The sequence below is a fragment of the Homo sapiens genome, chromosome 4 (assembly GCF_000001405.40).
Source record: "Homo sapiens chromosome 4, GRCh38.p14 Primary Assembly".
Lineage (NCBI taxonomy): Eukaryota > Metazoa > Chordata > Mammalia > Primates > Hominidae > Homo > Homo sapiens.
In genome coordinates this window covers 143,468,484-143,486,785 of record NC_000004.12, presented here as the reverse complement: position 1 = coordinate 143,486,785, position 18,302 = coordinate 143,468,484, and the positions used below count along the sequence as shown (strand labels likewise).

The window sequence follows — 18,302 nt, the reverse complement described above, 5'->3', positions numbered from 1 at the left end:
GCATCAAATAATATGCTCTTTGCTTTGTTTCTACATTAGCTGAAAGAGTATTATCTTTAAAAAGAAGATTGTGATGGTGATTTCCTAGATGTGTACATACATTGAAACTCATCAATTTATAAGCTTTAAATACATGCAGTTTTATATTCATGAATTATATCTCAATAAAGCTGTTTTATTTTTTCAAAATAAGAAAAAATTATACTGAGGTATCATGACTTTTCTATGTCAGTGCTTCTCAAACTTCAATGTACACATGATTCATCGGGGGGTCATAATAGGAAGTAGGTTCTGATTCCATATATGGGATACCTATGGTTTGTTCATGTATGAGTATCTGGAAGCCTTATTTTCCAAAGTCTAGTATTAATTCTATTTAATTATTACAATATATTTATGGAGATAATTTACTGAACACATTCCAAAATACTTTGAAATTCTCAAAGATATTTTTTCTTTTCTAGTATCATTTTGCCAGTGAAAAGGTAGCCTCTCAAAATTAAAAATTTTTTAGAACCACTTAAAGTCTACAGTATCACAAGAAAGACTGGCAAATCTGGTGATTATTTCTGAAGAAAACAAGATATTAGAGTAAGCACTGAAATGATCCTAAAGAACTTAGTTTTATAATTTTAACAAAGTTTTATTTTTAAAATTGATTCCTTCACAGTGACTTTGCGTTCTTGCTCATTATAATTCGTTTTTATTAATTTATGATAACTTTGAGTCCTCAATGATTTTGATAATTTTAAACTTTCTATAATTTCATGTTTACATCTGATATATGTAATTTATTCAGATGCTATATTGACTTTACATATGACACGTTTTATCATTGTTGAGAACTAAATAACGTATTGACTTAAAATTTATTGTTACCCAGAGGTGCCAACGGGTGGTAGCAGCTCTAAGTGTAGGGTGTGAGGAAAAAGGTAATGAATGAATTGGATTTTATTTTGAAGGCTGTGGGAGCATCTGAAGGATATTAGGCAAGTGAGTTATGAGATCAGATTTGTGATGGAAAAAGATTCATTTGGCAATCATGATGGCGAATAGAGATGGTGGATTCAGAAGGCACAAGAGACACTGGGTGTGGAACTAATCAGAGATGATGGCAGCCAGGAGTTACCAGCAGTGATCTATGTGAGAAAAGAGGTAGGAGCAAACTAAGGCAGTGGCAGAAGAAAAGAGAGAAGAGAATGAGAATATTCATTATCTGAGCAGAAAGAAAAGACTGAGGGTCATAAAAATTTATTAATAAGAAAACATGCACTGATAAGTATGAATGTGCCATTAATATATTTCTATTCTTGAATACATTTCCATCTTCACCACCTCCCTGCCCATCGGTCTTACTTCCCTCTGGGATCAGGAGCCAGGCTTGCTGTGTGCTGCCTGGCCTCCTTTCCAACTTTTCTGCATCTTTTCTCTGGTCCAGCATTTTTCAGCTACAAGAACAGAGGCAGATCAGAAACGAATTGCACATTCCTTAAAAGCTGTTGTGAAGATGAAGTAACACTATTCAACTAAAATGTCACAGGAAATTATCAAAAGCTGTTAAATCTATTCCATTTGATGTGGAGTACAGTTGTAAACTTTATTAATAGTAACAAATATTAAAGTATATTCTGCCAATTGTTCATTTAGTGAATTGGCCTGATTCCACAAGTTCTAGGGTAGAAAGCAGGAGGAGGAAAAGGTCATTGGAGTTTAAGGAACATGGAGAGGCTGGTGTGCTGTATGCATTGCCCTGAAGGATATTAAAGTTACCCAGAAAATTGGAAGAAATATAGAAGAAGGGAAGGCATTGAGGCATGGGGGATGAGAGAGAGTGACCTCTGAATGAGAGGGAGTGAACAGAAATCACTAGAATATAGCGACGAGGACGGTGGTGTCTTAAGCTCCTATAGTTACAGTTTTGGGATGAGGATTGAGAACTTGTTTGAAGTAGTGTTGGAAGAGGAAGAAGGGGACTCATGTCCTGCTCTTAGGGTCTAGGGTATGACAGGAAAATACTTTCACTTGAAAGAGATGGGAAGTAGTATCCTCAGGAGAGCTCACGTTTAGTGAAGTCAGTTTGGGAATAAAATTGAGATAAAGCTCTTCCTTTAGAGAACCAGAGGAAAGGCTTAAGGGTTAGGAAGAGGTGGGAGACTGTGGCAAGTAATGGGACGATCATTTTGGGGGTGAAGAATTAGAGATGATAGATGACAGGACCTAGGTGAATTGGAGTTGTGGGGGATGCCACTGTAGTTGGAGTGCTTTTGGTAATGGTGGTGGCTATGGGCAAAGCCAAGTCCCCTTTTTGTGAGCCTCTGATTATCTCGGCTCAGGAGACTTCCATCTTTGCAACTGAAAAAGGAGGGCGGCCGGGTGCGGTGGCTCATGCTTGTAATCCCAACACTTTGGGAGGCTGGGGTGGGCGGATCACCTGAGGCCAGGAGTTCCAGACTAGCCTAGACAACATGGCAAAACCCTGTCTCTGCTACAAATACAAAAATTAGCTGGGCGTGGTGGCTCGTGCCTGTAGTCCCAGCTACTTGGGAGGCTGGGGCAGGAGAATTACTTGAACCTGGAAGTGGAGGCTGCAGTGAGCCGAGATTGTGCCACTGTATCCCAGCCTGGGCGACAGAGCAAGACTCTGTCTCAAAAAAAAAAAAAAAAAAAAAAAAAGAGGCCGGGCACGGTGGCTCACGCCTGTAATCCCAGTACTTTGGGAGGCCGAGGTGGGTGGATCATCTGAGGTCAGGAGTTCATGACCAGCCTGACCAACATGGTGAAACCCCATCTCTTAACTAAAAATACAAAATTAGCCAGGCGTGGTGGCACACGCTTGTAATCCTAGCTACTTGGGAGGCTGAGGCAGAAGAATGGCTTGAACTTGGGAGGTGGAGGTTGCAGTGAGCCAAGATCGTGCCATTGCACTCCAGCCTGGGTGACAGAGTGAGATGGAGTTCATATTTTAAATGTGCTATTTCTGCCTAAAATATCTTTAAAAAATAAAAGAAAATAAAAAGGAGGCCAAATGTCTATAGCAGCATTTATTCATACTACCTTGAAAGTGGAAACAATCCAAATGTCCATCAACTGATGAATGGATAATTAAAATGTAGCACAGCCGTAAAATGGAATATTATTCAGCAATAAAAAGGAAAGCAGTACTGATACATGCTACAGCATACATGAACCTTGTGTACAGTATGCTAAAGGAAAGAAGCTAGTCATAAACGGCCATGCCACATATTGTATGGGTTCTATTTTTATTAAATGTCTAGAAAAGGGAAATCTACAGAACCAGAAAATAGGTTCATGATAGCCTAGGGCTGAGGCAGGATTGGGGTAATTGGTAGTGATTGCCAATGGGTACGGAATTTGTTTTCGGGCTGATGAAAACGTTCTAAATTAATTGTGGTGATGGTGGTAAAAGGCTGCAAATACACTAAAAATCAGCTGTATAGTTTAAATGGGCGAGTTATTTGGTATGTGAATTATTAATATATTTCAGTGGAAAAAGGGGACAATAACTCAGGTTGTAATCAAACAAAATATTATGGATGTGAGAATGTTTTGGAGACCAAAAAGCACAAAATATATGTGAAATTGGTAAGGCAAGTGTGGGGACACCTTCTTCTGAAGATTTAAAAGAAAATGACTAATACTTTAGGGCTGGTCTTAACTGACTTATTGAAGGCAAGGGGGCAGACCACTTGGCTTCAAGGAACTTTTACAATTGTAATTCCATGAGAGAATATTCATGTAATTTATTCTACTTTTTGTCAGATTTCCCTTGAAAATTCAGTTCATGCACAAGAGGGTGCTGTCCACCAAATAACAACTTGTTCATCGCTGCTGGCAATGTGCATATGTAATCTTAGGAGAAAAAAACCAAAGTAAGGTCAAGGAGAACCTAAATTTAAAAGTCCCTTAATACATATGAACTAGTATATATGAGTTTGCTTATGAGTGTACAGCATATCTCTGGAAGGACATATAACATGGGCATAGGAGAGAGGGGTACTTTTTTCTGTAAACTATTTAATGCTTTTTATGTTTTGAACCCTATGATTGTATTATTTATAAGAAACATTGTATAGAAAGAAATAATACCTTATAAAAATTATTCTGTGATGTTATTTAGATTAACATGTGAAATTGAGAAAAGGGATGTGGAGAACATATGCAACATATAGAGATATTATTCAAATCAATTTTTTAAAATCATTGCCAATTCATAGTAATGGCTTATTTTGTCTACTTATTCTTCTAATGAATCCAAGGATTTTCCCATGTATTATATGTGTATTCTTTCCTTCCTTTCTTCCTTCCTGAACGCCTGGCTTCTTGCCTGCCTTCCTCCCTTCCTTTTTTTTCTCTTCCTCTCATTTTTTCCAGGTATAAGAAAGATAATTGAATTGTTCAACTACTTTTCAACTTTCTACTATAAAACTCTTCAATAGAAAATTTGAAAGAATAGTACAATAAACATTTACCACCTTGATGGAATAATTATTAATATTTTGATTTTAACTTACATCTTATCTTTTTAAGAGACAGAGTCTCACTTTGTTGCCCAGGCTGGTCTCAAACATCTGAGCTCAAGCAATCCTTCCATCTCAGCCTCCCAAGTAGATGGGACTGCAGGCACATGCCAATTATTTTGCTCTGTTTATCTCTGTACATATATGTATATGTGTGTGCATTTTTTTCAATATTATTTTCAGATGTTTTAACCCTAAATAATTCAGCAGCCATCTATATAATGAAGGACATTCAACTACATTGTCATAATATTATTACACCAGAAAAATTATGAGTAATTCTTTAATACCATTTATTATCTAGTTCATATTTTAAATGTGCTATTTGTGCCTAAAATGTCTTAAATCACTTTCTTCCCCCATGAAGTATTGTGGTTGTTATGCGTTTGTCTCTTTTGTTCTGGAGCAGTCCCTCACTTAAAAAAAAAAAAGACTTCATCTTTTTGTAGAGACCGGGCAAGTTGTCTTACATGGAATATTCTATATTTTGTCTGATTGTTTCCTGGTGGTGTCAATTAAATTGTCCCTCTGTCTTCTGGATGTTAGATTCAGGTCAAACATTTTTGGCAATAGTTTATTTTTAATCTTTTCATTATGAAATAAAACACACAGAGTTCACAAAACAAAAATATGCAGCACGATTAATTATTACAAAGTGAACATACCTAGGCAACCACCACCCAAGTGAATAAATAGAACATTGCCAGCACTCCAAAAACCACATGCGCCCCTTCCAACTTTTTACCTGTCCTTCCCATCCAGTGTAATTACTATCCTCGACTTTAGGAAATTAACTCCTTACTTCCTTTATAGTTTTGCCACCTAAGCATGCATTAAACACCATGGTTTAGTTTTTGCACTGTTTTTGCACTTTATGTGGGTAAAATCATATGTTGTGTTCTTTTGTATCTAGCTTCTTTTAGTCAATCTTGTACTTGAGAAATTCATCTATATGCTTATGAGTGGCTGTAGTTTATTCATTTAAATATCTGAATTATTGAAATAAAACATAATTCACTTCTCCTTTCTACTGTTGATGGGCATTTGGGTTATTTTGCTCATTTTGTTTTTGTAAATAATACTACCATGAACATTCTCATGTCTGTCTCTTGCTACACATGTGCATGCATTTCAGTTGGGTATAACTCGGTAGTATGATTTTTAGGCCATAAGGTATTCATATGTCTAAATTTTGTAAATATTTTGTACATTTTGTAAATAATGACAGTCTTTCAAAGTGGTTGTGTTAATTTGACCCCTACTAGCACTGCATGAGATTAATTTACACATTCTTAGCAATGCTTCGTATTGGCAGTCTTTTTAATCATTTGAGTGGATGTGCAGTAGTATAACGTGGGTTTTGTTTGCATTCTCGTCTCCTGCCCCTTTTTGAGTTACTGCATTTTTCTTACTGATCTATAGGAGTTCTAAATATAATCAGTTTATGAATCATTTGTTAATTTTCCCACTGTGTGTTTTGCTTTTGGTTATTGTAACAGTATCTATTGATGAGTAGATGTTCTTAACTTTGATATAATCCAATTTGTCAATCTTTTATTTTTTGGTTAATTCCTTTCTGGTCCTCTTTAAGAAACCTTCTTTTTTTTTTGAATCATGATAAAATTATCCTGTATAAGCTTTGTTATTGTTTTGCCTTTCACAATTATATCTACAGTTCACTAGGAATTGATACTTGCTTATAATATGAGTCACAGGTCAATTTTCTTCTTTTATTTATATGGATATCCATGTGGTCCACATTGTTTTCCACTGCTCTGCAGCTACTGTGTCATAAATCAGTGTCCATATATACGTGGTTCTGTTTCTGTGTTCTCTTTTGAGTTCCTTTGGCATACTTTTTCATCCTGGTACCAATGTTACTTGCTACATCTTTATAATAAGTTGTAAATCTTATAGAGTACTTCTTCCACATTGTTATTTTTCAAGAATATTTTGGCTATTCTTGGTCTTTTGCACTTCCATAGACACTTAAGAATCAGCTTCTCAGGTTCATTTAAAACAAAAACAAAAACAAAACAAAAACCTGGGATTTTGAATGACATTGCATTGAACTTAAAGATCAACTTTGGGGAAAACTGATATCTTCACAGCATTGAATTACCCCACCCATGCACATCATATACTCTTTTTTATTCCTCTATTTTGACTTTATTCTTAATATTTTATAGCAGAGGTTTTGCACATACTATTTTAAATGTGTTTCTGATCAATTCTTTTGATGCTATCAAAATTTCATATTCAAATTGTTACATACAAAAATTGATTTTTGTATGTTAACCTTATTTCTAACAACCTTTTACCTGTAGATTTATTTCAGCTTTCTACATACACAATCATATTATCTGTGGATAACAGCTGTTTTATTTATTTTCTCAAATTCTTGTAATTTTCCCTGCATATGTCCTTCAGTACAATACTGAATAGAAGTGGTGATAATGGACATATTTGTCTTGTTCCAGGTCTCAAAGAGAAAGTTGTCAATATTTCAGCATTAAGTGTCAGGTTTGCTGATAAATGTTTAAATATTCTTTTTTTCATAAACTTCCCTTTTATTTAATGTTGCTAAGAGTTGTTCTTTAAATCATGAATAGATGTTGAAGTTTAACAATTTTCTGCATCAATTGAGATGATCATGTGATTAATTCCCCTTTATTTTATTGATAAGAACCTTGCATTCTTGATTTACCAGGATTTATTTGTTATTTCTTAAATGTTTGGTAAAACTATTTGTTTCTTAAATGTTTGATAGAACCCATCGAGATGTTATCTAAGCTCAGAGTTTTCTTTGGAAAAAGGTTTTTAATTATAAAACTCATTTTAGCTGATATAGAACTATTCAAATTTCTTTTCAGTTTTAGAAAGTTGTCTTTTCTAGTGATTTGTTCATTTTATATAGTTTTCAAATATATTGGCCTAAGGTTGTCCATAATCTTTCTCGTTATCATTTTAATGTCTGCAGTATCTGTAGTGATATCCTGCTGTTTTAATCCTGTTAGTTATATGCAAAAACAGGATTATACCCAGGTTACATAGTCTTAATTTTTACACCAATGGTCTTAAAGAACCATTCATGACATCAAATATTCTTTTATTGCAAGAGCTAACATTTTTTTCAAGTAGTAAAACCTATTTTTCAAATAAAACCTTATACTTTTCTTCCAATGTACAAACAAAAATGTGAAGGTACCGTAATTAAAACAAGGATGAAGTGAGACTGGATCTCTCAAATACTTGATCTACCTTTCCTTTTTGAGGTCTCCCCTGTTGGAAGGACATGGTTTTAAAAATTATTATTCTATATTATAAATTGCTATATACATGTGTATGTACAACTTAATTTCCTCTCCATTGTTGGATAAGCCCCTAATTCGTTGGAGACAATTTTTTGTGATGAATTCGTTAATGCTAATTGCTTGAAATGTAATTGCTAGGTTAAAGGCTAACTACAGTTTCAAGACTTTAAAATCGTATGTATAAACTGCTCTTTGAAAAAGTTGAGGCTGGGCGTGGTGGCTCACGCCTGTAATCCCAGCACTTTGGGAGGCTGAGATGGGTGGATCACCTGAGGTCAGGAGTTTGAGACCAGCCTGGCCAACACGGTGAAACCCCATCTCTACTAAAAATACAAAATTAGCCAGGTGTGTTGGTGCATGCCTGTAATCTCAGCTACTTGGGAGGCTAAGGCAGGAGAATGGCTTGAACTTGGGAGGTGGAGGTTGCAGTGAGCCAAGATCATACCACTGCACTCCAGCCTGGGAAACAAGAGTGAAGCTCCGTCTCAAAAAAAAATTAAAAAGTTGTACCAATTTATGCTCCTAGTGGTATAGATGATAGTGTCCTATCACTCACATCTGTATCAATATTGGGTATTATCATTGAGTATTTCAAAATATTTGAAGGAAAATTACGCAGTCTTTAAAAATAATTCAGATGCTTAACACCTAGGAAAACATTTATGATAATAGTTAATGCAAAAAGTAGAGTCCAGCTGCACATTTAGGCAAAGGTAGGGAAGTAACATGGCTTGTGGGCATTTTTCTTCTTACTCTCCCAAATTGTCTTTAATTACAGTTTTACAATGCGAAAGTAGAAAAAAAATTCAGAAAGCAACAAGCTTGGCCCCTGTGTCAGCTCAAGAGAATTAAGCCACGCTAGTAATTTTTAAACGACAGATAATTTAATGCAGATTAAAATCACACCACTCACTGGTAGGTGTGAAGGCTCTTTAGGAAGGATTCTCAGAACAACGCTACGGAGCTGCCAGACATGGGAACAATCGGGAATCTGGGTTCAGGAAACCACTGCACCAATGGTTGAAACCGTAATACCTTCAGAGTACAGTAATCTACCATGGCAAGTATTGGCTCCAAGCATACACCACTGCAAGAATTGCTTAGCAGGAATCCATTGCTTCACATCCTAAATGCAAACTGCGAGATTTAATATTGATGCCTCACAGACTTCTGTCTCTCCACTGAACTGTTTCTGAGATTAAGCAAGTATCACTGGTGAAAAGTTAATTACAAGCAGCGCCCTAGTTGCAAGGAAGTCTGGGAAATGTAGTTTTTATCTTTACAGCTTCTTAAATACAGGAGGGTACTCCAGAGAGAGGTTGGATCAGCTGTTCAGCAAGCCAATCTTCTACAGATGCTTCATGTCCATGAGGATGATCAATAAAAGATTAACTGACTTACTGGTCTGACATGATGACAGATAATGAAGATTGTTAAGGATTTTCTCTGTTTGCTGTACCTGATTTTCTCTGTTTGCTGTACCTCCACCCTTCTCTGCCTTCCCAAGTGCCCTGGGAGACTGACTTCTATGTATTACATATTCTGGGTTCCCAGCCTTTCTGGGGGCTGGTTGGTTTTAGCCAATGGCAAGCTGTGAGAGAGGTACCCTGGTTTCTTCACTGCTGGTCAGCATTTGATAGTGTGTGTGTCCCTTTACCTAAGATTAAAGTGTCTGTTGGCAGACTGTCTCCACCAGCTACAGCTCTTGCTGGGTGTAACAGCTTCCTCCACTTGCCTCCTTAGTTCTAGAAGTGGTAATGGCTTCTCACTGCTGCTAGTCACTTACCGTTGCTCAGGATTTTACTTTTTAAGAAATGGGGTCATTTTGCTCTGTCACCGAGGCTAAAGTGCAGTGGTGTGATCATAGCTCACTGCAGCTTTCAACTCCTGGACTCACACAATCCTTCTGCCTCAGCCTCCTGAGTAGCTGGGACTATAGGTATGCACCACCACATGCAGATTACTCAGGGTTTTTAACCATTCCTTGTTGGCTCCCTTAACCCTACCCATACAATAGTCCCTTCATTCAACTCTCCTCAATTACTTCTTTGAGTGTGCCATCTTTTCCTGCTGGGAAAAGTTAACATAGCCAGGCAGATGAGACATAAACATAGCCACAAGCTCAGAATGTGTCAGGTTTTTGGAGATAGGGTTGTTAAAGAAGTAATTAAGGTAAAATTATTCATTTTACCTAATCTAGTATGACTGATGTCTTTATAATGAGAGAGCAGAACCAGGGGTGCCAACACAGAAAAAAAGACCATCTGAGGACGCAGTGAGAAGATGGCTATCTACCAGTGAAGAGACCTCAGAAGAAATCAAACCAACGCAGCCTTGATGCTTGACTTCTAGCCAACTGACCAGTGATAAATTTGTAGTATGAGGACTACATATGTATTACATTGAACAGCAACTGTTCAATAGTTTTATAAGAACATACATTGAAACTCACAGACCTAGGTTTAGAACTGCCTCCTGACTTCTTGTGGCCTACTCTTTCCATGCTTTGGGTTATTGTTCTGACATTTTCAAGTCCTTAATTACCAACACACTTGAGTTTCCAAGGTCTTCCATCCTTGGCCTCATCTCTCAACTCTTAATTTTGCCTTTGTGACTGCTAGCATCTTAGATGGCTCCCAGTGATCCTTACTTCCTGGTATTCATACCCTTGCAAGTCTCCTCCCACAGTGAATCAAGGCGTGAACTGTACAACCCATTACTGCACAGCAGAGATGACAGTGTGTGACCTCTAAGGCTAGGTCATTTGTTTGGTCTCTGGGATCACTAGCTTTGGGGGAAGCCAGCCCCCATGCCTCAAAGATACTCAAGCAGCTCTGTGAAGCAGCCACATGAAGAGGAACAAAGGCTCCCAGCAACAGGCAGCACCAACTTGCCAGCCATGTGAGTAAACCACCTGAGGCAGATCCTTCAGCCCTAGATAACTCCAGTCTCAGGTAATTTGACTGTAATTTCAGTAGAGACTCTGGACCAGAACTGTTCGGCCAAGACACTCCTGAATTTCTGACCATGGAAACTGTGAGAATAGATGACTTTTTAAAGTCACTACATTCTGATTACACACCGTAACTAATACAATATTTCATAAGCCTCCACCCAGTACATAGTTCTCCATATTCTGCTTTTGTCTTTTTCTTTACCTCTTCTCATGAAACAAACCAGTAGCAAGCCAACCTTCTTGCAAATCCTCCATTGTCCAGCTCAATCTCCATCTTTGTGAAGCTTTTCTTAAATACAGAACTTTGTTTTTTCTTTGGTAGCTCATAGTTGGTACCTCAGAAATAATAACTTACTGTCCTGTATTATTTTTTCACACATATTTGTAAAGATAAAGATGAGGTAGATTTCTTTCATGTTTCCCATAGCACCTTGAATAATTCAACATGTGTAGCTTAGTGAAATGACTAAATTATTAATAAGCCACCATCAATTAGAATCAAAATCTGGGACAACAGTATTTTCTTCTTAGTCTGACTTTCAAAATTACTGTTTTGTCTAAGGACCGGAATAAGCAACTTTCAAACACATTGTTTTAATAAGGCTGATTAAAAAACAGCTTTAGATGTACATGGGTAATATGTTTTAGAAATTTAAAGCAGGGAAAACTAAATAAATGTGTAGGGTCATAGCATGTGACAAGGGTGAAGAGGTGAAGACTACAACCCAGTGTTACAAATGAAATTCTGTCCTTAATAGTATTCTGTACCCTTTGTGACAAGAATCCAATAATCTGTGTTCTTCTTAGAATACTATTTTCCATCATTGGAGATGTTGATTTAATGGTTCCTAGAAGATAAAAAGCTATGGCCAGAAGTGGAAACATGGTTCACTGTCAGTAAATGGCTTCAGAAGAAACTTTTGGAGCAGACTGCTAACACATTGCAAATTAAACTTCAAAATCATTGCTTGGTATGAGAGGCACTCAGATTAATGACTCAGTATGTTTATCAGTCATGGTTCTCCAGAAAAACAGAACCAATAAGATACACATATCTGTAAGATAGCTATATATTCTTATATACCAACACTTACATGTTTTATATGTGTTTTGAAGATATATATATACACACACACACGGGGGAGATGGAGAGAGACAGAGAGAATTAGTTTTAAGAAAGGCTCCAGGATTGTAAGAACTGGCAAGTCTGAAGTTGGTAGGGTAGGCCAGCAAACTGGATCAGGTAAGAGGTGATGATGCACTCTTTAGTTCAAAATCTACAAGAAGGCAGGCCAGCAGGATGGAAACTTAGGATTAATTTGTTATGATCTTGAGGCTGAATTACTTCTTTTGGAAACCTTGGCTTTTGCTCTTAAGGCCTTTAGCTGATTGAATGAGGTTCAACAACATTATGGATGAGAATCTGCTTTACTTAAAATCAACTGATTGTAAATGTTAATCACATCTACAAAATATATTCACAGCAACATCTAGGCTAGTGTTTGACCAAACACATGGGCGCCATAGCCTCACCAAGTTGACACATAATATTAACCATCACAATACCATATCTGATAAAGTGGGTTTTGGGTATTATTTTAATTTTTAAATTTCCTATATCACTGTATGTCCCTCGCACAGAGCACTCCAAATGTTCCAAGCACCTCATGGAACACAAAATCAGAGGAGACGCATTAAGTGTTAATCACCAATAACCATAAGTAATAGTAATAAAATCTTTTCTAATGAAGTATAGAAACATCTTAGAAACTTAATTTTCTGTAGGTGTTCCTTTATTTTATCAAAAATAGTAATTTTGTATAATTTTAAATCAGGAAATCTAAGGGGACATGTTACCCAATCACAACAGCTAATAAAATGCCTCCCATTACAGACCCAGCTTTTTAAATATTCAATAACATTCACAGAATTGGCAAGTTAGTCTCCAAAAAATTCTAACAGAAACTGCAACTCAAAAAGTGTGTCTATATCAGAGATGGTGGTAACTTCCTCAAAGAAGTTACATGCAAATACCCAGGAGTCTCATGGTTTACAAGGTGACAGACAGACATATGAGAAAATAATCTTGAAGAAGATAGCCTCACCCTACCCAAACTTCCCAAATATGATTCAGTGAAGAGTCAGAGTTGCAAGTGGGCTGGGTGGGCTGAGTGGACCAAAGTGCTGACTTACAGCAATTGTTGGGATTTTATAAAGTACTGGAGATGTTTGAAACTTTCATAGAAATGAAAAATCCCAGCCAGTTAATAAACAGAATCATTTCCCAAGTCACATTTTACATATAAAACCTAGTTTCTGAAGATAAAGGTTGCATGCAGGCCCTTATTTATTTGGACTTTTACACAATAAAATGCTGGCAGCACTGGCTGGCTGGAGGAGTAACAGGGCACGTGCATGTGGCAACAGAGTTTTTCCAGGGAGCTTTTTCTATTTACTTAGAGAGGATCATGACTTGTGTTTCAACATGATTTAGTGAGATCTTTGTTGCAGAAAATGAGTGACATATAGAGGTGGGACTGGGAAGCACAGTTAATGGCAGAATTGGGTTTTTGATGCAGATAAAGACTCTAAGGAAGGGCTGGAAATATAAATTTATATGTCCTTATCAGTTCACAATCTTAGTATCCAACTTGTCTATTTAAGGTCTTGAAACCAAATTGTTTGAAAAGTTTTATTTGGTAGCAGAAAAGATCTACAATGGGACCTTTACAAAAGATGATGAACAAGAGGGGAGAAATAAATTTATACATATGATTTTGTTGTCAAAATTTGGGATGATCATCAGTAATCAAGAACTTACATAAAACCACATCTTTTTAAGTAAAGGAAGTAGAAGCTATGTTAATACCTTGACCAATCAGTTTGCTGAAACTCTGTTAACAGAGATTATACTGAACCGGAATAAAATTAAGTCTATAGAAGACAAATGAAACTATTTTTAACTGTAGTAATGCATGAACTATTTAGACAGATTAAAAACAACTTTCTCAAGCTGACAATTGATTTCTATCATATCAAGTCCATGATGTCCACAATATTCATTTATACCATGGCTTCTCATAGTTCAGTTTTTAAAATTATATATATATAAATGTGCATGTAACATCAGATGTTATTGACAGTAGTTGTTACCATAGAATGCATGTATCTTTCTCACTGTGTGTATCCACTTAATTTGTTCATATGTCCAATCCCTGTCACGGACCTGATTGCTTACTTGACAGTGGAGGAGAAGACCTACCAGAATGACCCGAAGACAGAAATGGGAAGGATCAGCCCACCTCAGCATTATTAGAGGGCCAAAGGCTCTGTAGTGAAAGTAGTAATACCAACACTTTCAACGGGCCAAAAAAGAGGCACTAGGAGTGTTTGTGAACACCCAAGAATTATGATCAGTATCTACAGCATAGTGTGTAGGCATAAAGTAGTTAATATTTTAACAAAATATAAAAATACTGTTTTCTCTAAAGGGGGAAGCAGACAACTTCCCATAAGTAGAAAAAGAAAAACACTGGTGTTCAATTTCAGGTTTAAATGCATTTATGAAGGAAGACTATAATCCCCATTAATTAAATATAAAAGAGTCCAGCAGAAATTATGACCTTAATGTACAAGTAAAGTAGTATTTCTATATCAAATTAAATTTAGTCTATGATTAAATACAATGCTATATATACACACACATACAGACACACTCATAGTACCTTTATGGAATTCTCTAAAATGCTCACAGTAACTTATATAGTATTGATAATGATAAAGATGTATAAACTGAAGTGTAGATTTAAAAAATCTTTTACATCTTACTAAATGATATCTTCCATGGGTTAAACAGCTTTTTCAAGTTTGAATTTTAATTTTTGAAAGCAGAACTGTGCTTCAGTATTCAAACCTTCATAAAATCTTACAATTTTTCAGAATAAGGAATTAAGGTAAAGAACTCTAATGTGGAAGAAAGATTTCCAATCTCCAAGATCATAACTGTCACATCGTTAACCAGTGGTTTTTAGCCCATTCCTGGCCAAAGTCTAGCTTCTTGGAGGTGAGTTAAAAGGGTTTGATTCAAATTTAGTTTTTATACGTGCATATTTTAAAACCTAATAAAAACGCACATTCTGATGTGTTACATACCCTACTTTACCACACTGGAGACTGCTTATGTATTAACTTCCACTACCAGGATAACTTATTTTTGTATAGACCTTGAATAACTTTAGCTATCTCTAATTAAAGAATTTCCTGAGATGTATGTTTAAAACCTATTATTTTTGCTTACATTTGTGTGAATCAAAATTTTCTTGATAGTATACAAATAAAACAGGGCATAGCTATAAATTGGCTGCTGGTTTCATCAACTATGTATAACTCCACATTTGTGTTATTCAGAAATAACTCAGAATCTTATTATGCTTAGTAATGAGCCAAAATGAATAAGCATAAATGTGAACCCAAAATACATTTATATTGATAAAATTGAGTTTTCAGGCTTTATGTATTGGGGTTATACATAAAATTTCATCTAAAAAGATTCTAGTGCTAAAAATGTTTGGAAAATACTGCTCTGTAAGAAACTTTTAATTTAATTCTCTAATACAATGTTCAATGTGATTTAGTTTTCTAAAGCAAACTGCCTTTCTAATACATCACCATTTTTAAATTATTCAGAATGAAAAATTTTCTGAAAATCAGAGTGCTACAGATCTTCAAATATGGTGACTTGTAAAAAGTTAATGATAAGTTAGACTAAAAACATTCATTAAGTGCTTTAGACCCTTGATAGGCAGCTGTAAAGATTTTTATTTTTGAATTAATCATGTATTTATTATTGTGTTTTAAATCTTAAATATATTCATCCTCCAAGTAACAGAATTTAGCATCTTTACACATTAGCTGTATCGTGTGTTTTGATAGTTTAGGCACATTTCAGGATTTTAGATTTCATTTTGTTGTTTCATTATAAAACAGCTTGCACACCAAACTCAATCAATCTTTTTTATTTAAAAATCCACCTAAAAATTCACTTCTGGGTTTTAGTTTTTGTTTAAAAAGAAGCAAATATTTAAAAGCATCAAATGTTACTAGTCTACAATTCATCTTGTTATGAACATTTTTAGTTTGAGGATTGGGAAAATAAACCTATTACATTGATTAGGCACAGTACTATGGCCAATGGGCCAGAAATCAGGGCACATCTGTGTACTCAGGCAACAGTTAGAGGTCTGAATGGAGGGGGTCATGCCTCAACTGTGGGCACTCCTTTCTCTATGCCCCCTCCAAAAATTGTTATAAGTCTCAAATCAGTACATGAGATTGTATGTAACTTGGTTAAAAAACAACTATACGTGCTTTCTAAATTATGTTGCAAAGCCAAGACAGACGAATATAATTGTAGCCTCACTACAACTTGTGGTCTTAATATCTATGTCACAGGACCATGTTATAGGTGAGACAGAATTATACCATCCCTCTGGTGTTTTCAGAAATCTGGTTGGAAGGAGTCCATGACTATAACATTTCACATTGTAGCAAGGCTCCAATATTTCTTGAATTGGGGCAGTGAATATAAATCACAGTACAAAATCCGTAATTCTTTCAGTGGAAAAGCAACAGGTGCTACATACGAGAATCACTTATATAACATCTATTTTTTTTAAAAAAATGCAGATATAAAATATTAATTGCATAGGGAATTAAATATAAGGCCAAGAAGAATATTAAGTAAAAAAAATCATAGAAAGGGCACTATGGTGTCAAAAGACAGAATTTCATAGAGTAATAAATCTGAATTACTATCTAATTAAAAATCACAGTATGTTGCTGTAACTAACAGTGAATGTCAACTGCTTTATTAATTCCAAACTGAAAACCAATATTAGGACTAACAAGAACACAACCAAAGCTCATTGTCTAAACCTGATCAGTGTATTAGCACATCACTGCCTGGTACGTACCTGATTGGTTACATAATCTACCTTTTGCAAATAACACTTAATACATGTTAACAAGTGTAAGAGCACATCATCACTGCATGCCATCAATGATTTGCAGGCTTACTTGGTAGTGTAATTATTCAGTCTTTCAAAGGTGCAAGATCCCACCCGGCAGAATCTTCACTCAATGAACCAAAAACACTGTAATTAACAAAATATAACAAAGTTCCACCATTAAAAACTAAATGTACATTAACCAGAGAACTAGGTCCTGACACCAGTACATACATTATCCTCAGCATTTTGGAAGGCAACAAATGATGAGTCCAAGTATAAGCTAATGGTTATCACCTGAAGCTTCAGGTAGAAAGCTAACTTGTGAATCTACCTCTCATTTTAATGTTGTTAGACTGTAAACAGCAATTTCCAAATCTAAAAGTAGCTTAGTTGACTTAGTATTGTTATATAAAGTAGTGTGACAAAAAACAAGAACTCCCAAAGGAATTATGGTAAGGTACATTGGGAAAACCCAGAACAATGTTTTAGATGAAAAAGTGCATAAATACAGTAATACTACGAGTGTGTTAACTGTGGAACAAATGTTTCTCTGGGAGCTAAACAATACTATTTTCCCACATTATTTACATGTTATGAATTGTTCAGATACCACAAAGCACCACTTAAGTCTAAATTGCTTGATTATGTCAGAAAGGTCCTTTGACTTCAACTCTACTCATTTGAGGATCTACCTAGAGTGGAAGTGTCAAGTCATTCTTCAAAAGGGATTTATCTTTACAATTCAGTTTTCTTTTGTTCAGAAATGGCAAGGCAATATTTTCATTTCACACTCTTCGCTGGCGTTTCTGATTCTGTGGACTGTCTCCCATCTGTCCAGGCTTCCCGGGTACTCTTTAGAGCCAAGGTCTTCTGTTGGTCAACAACAACATAATCCACTCTCTCATCTGCTACACTGCTGCCTGAGCCACTGCTCTTTTGCTAAAACACAAAGAAAAAACAAAAAGTCCAACATATAAAGGAGTGTTCCTGAGTACAACTCAGTCTTAAAACACAAAACACATCCACTGTGAATACTTTTTTTTTTTGAGAAGGAGTTTTGCTCTTGTTGCCCAGGATGGAGTGCAGTGGTGCGATCTCAGCTCACTGCAACCTCCGCCTCCTGGGTTCAAGCAATTCTCCTGTCTCAGCCTCCTGAGTAGCTGGGATTACAGGCATGTGCCACCACGCCTGGCTAATTTTGTATTTTTAGTAGAGATGTGGTTTCAGCATATTGGTCAGGCTGGTCTCAAACTCCTCACCTCAAGATCCATCCGCCTTGGCCTCCCAAAGTGCTGGGATTACAGGCGTGAGCCACCATGCCCGGCCATGAATACTCTTAAAATTTTTCTGGGTCATACACAAAAAATAACATCAACTACCTCAACTTAAAAATGTCTCTCTCCTAACTATATACTATTTTTGCCTTAAATTTAAAATTATTATATTTAAGAATTCAAAGCTGGGCACAGTGGCTCACGCCTATAAT

General features: G+C 36.0%; 1 protein-coding gene across 16 annotated transcripts in view; it reads right to left on the bottom strand.

Moving 5' to 3' along the window:
* Positions 1-12,220: 12,220 nt before the first annotated feature.
* GAB1 (GRB2 associated binding protein 1) overlaps positions 12,221-18,302 on the bottom strand; it is a 137,690-nt gene continuing 131,608 nt past the window's right edge. For all 16 annotated transcript variants that reach the window (NM_207123.3, NM_002039.4, XM_047449969.1 and 13 more), the window contains one exon: positions 12,221-17,755. In NM_207123.3, coding sequence (NP_997006.1) covers positions 17,597-17,755 — 159 coding nt within the window. In that variant the 3' untranslated portion in view covers positions 12,221-17,596. The remainder of the gene's footprint in view (positions 17,756-18,302) is intronic.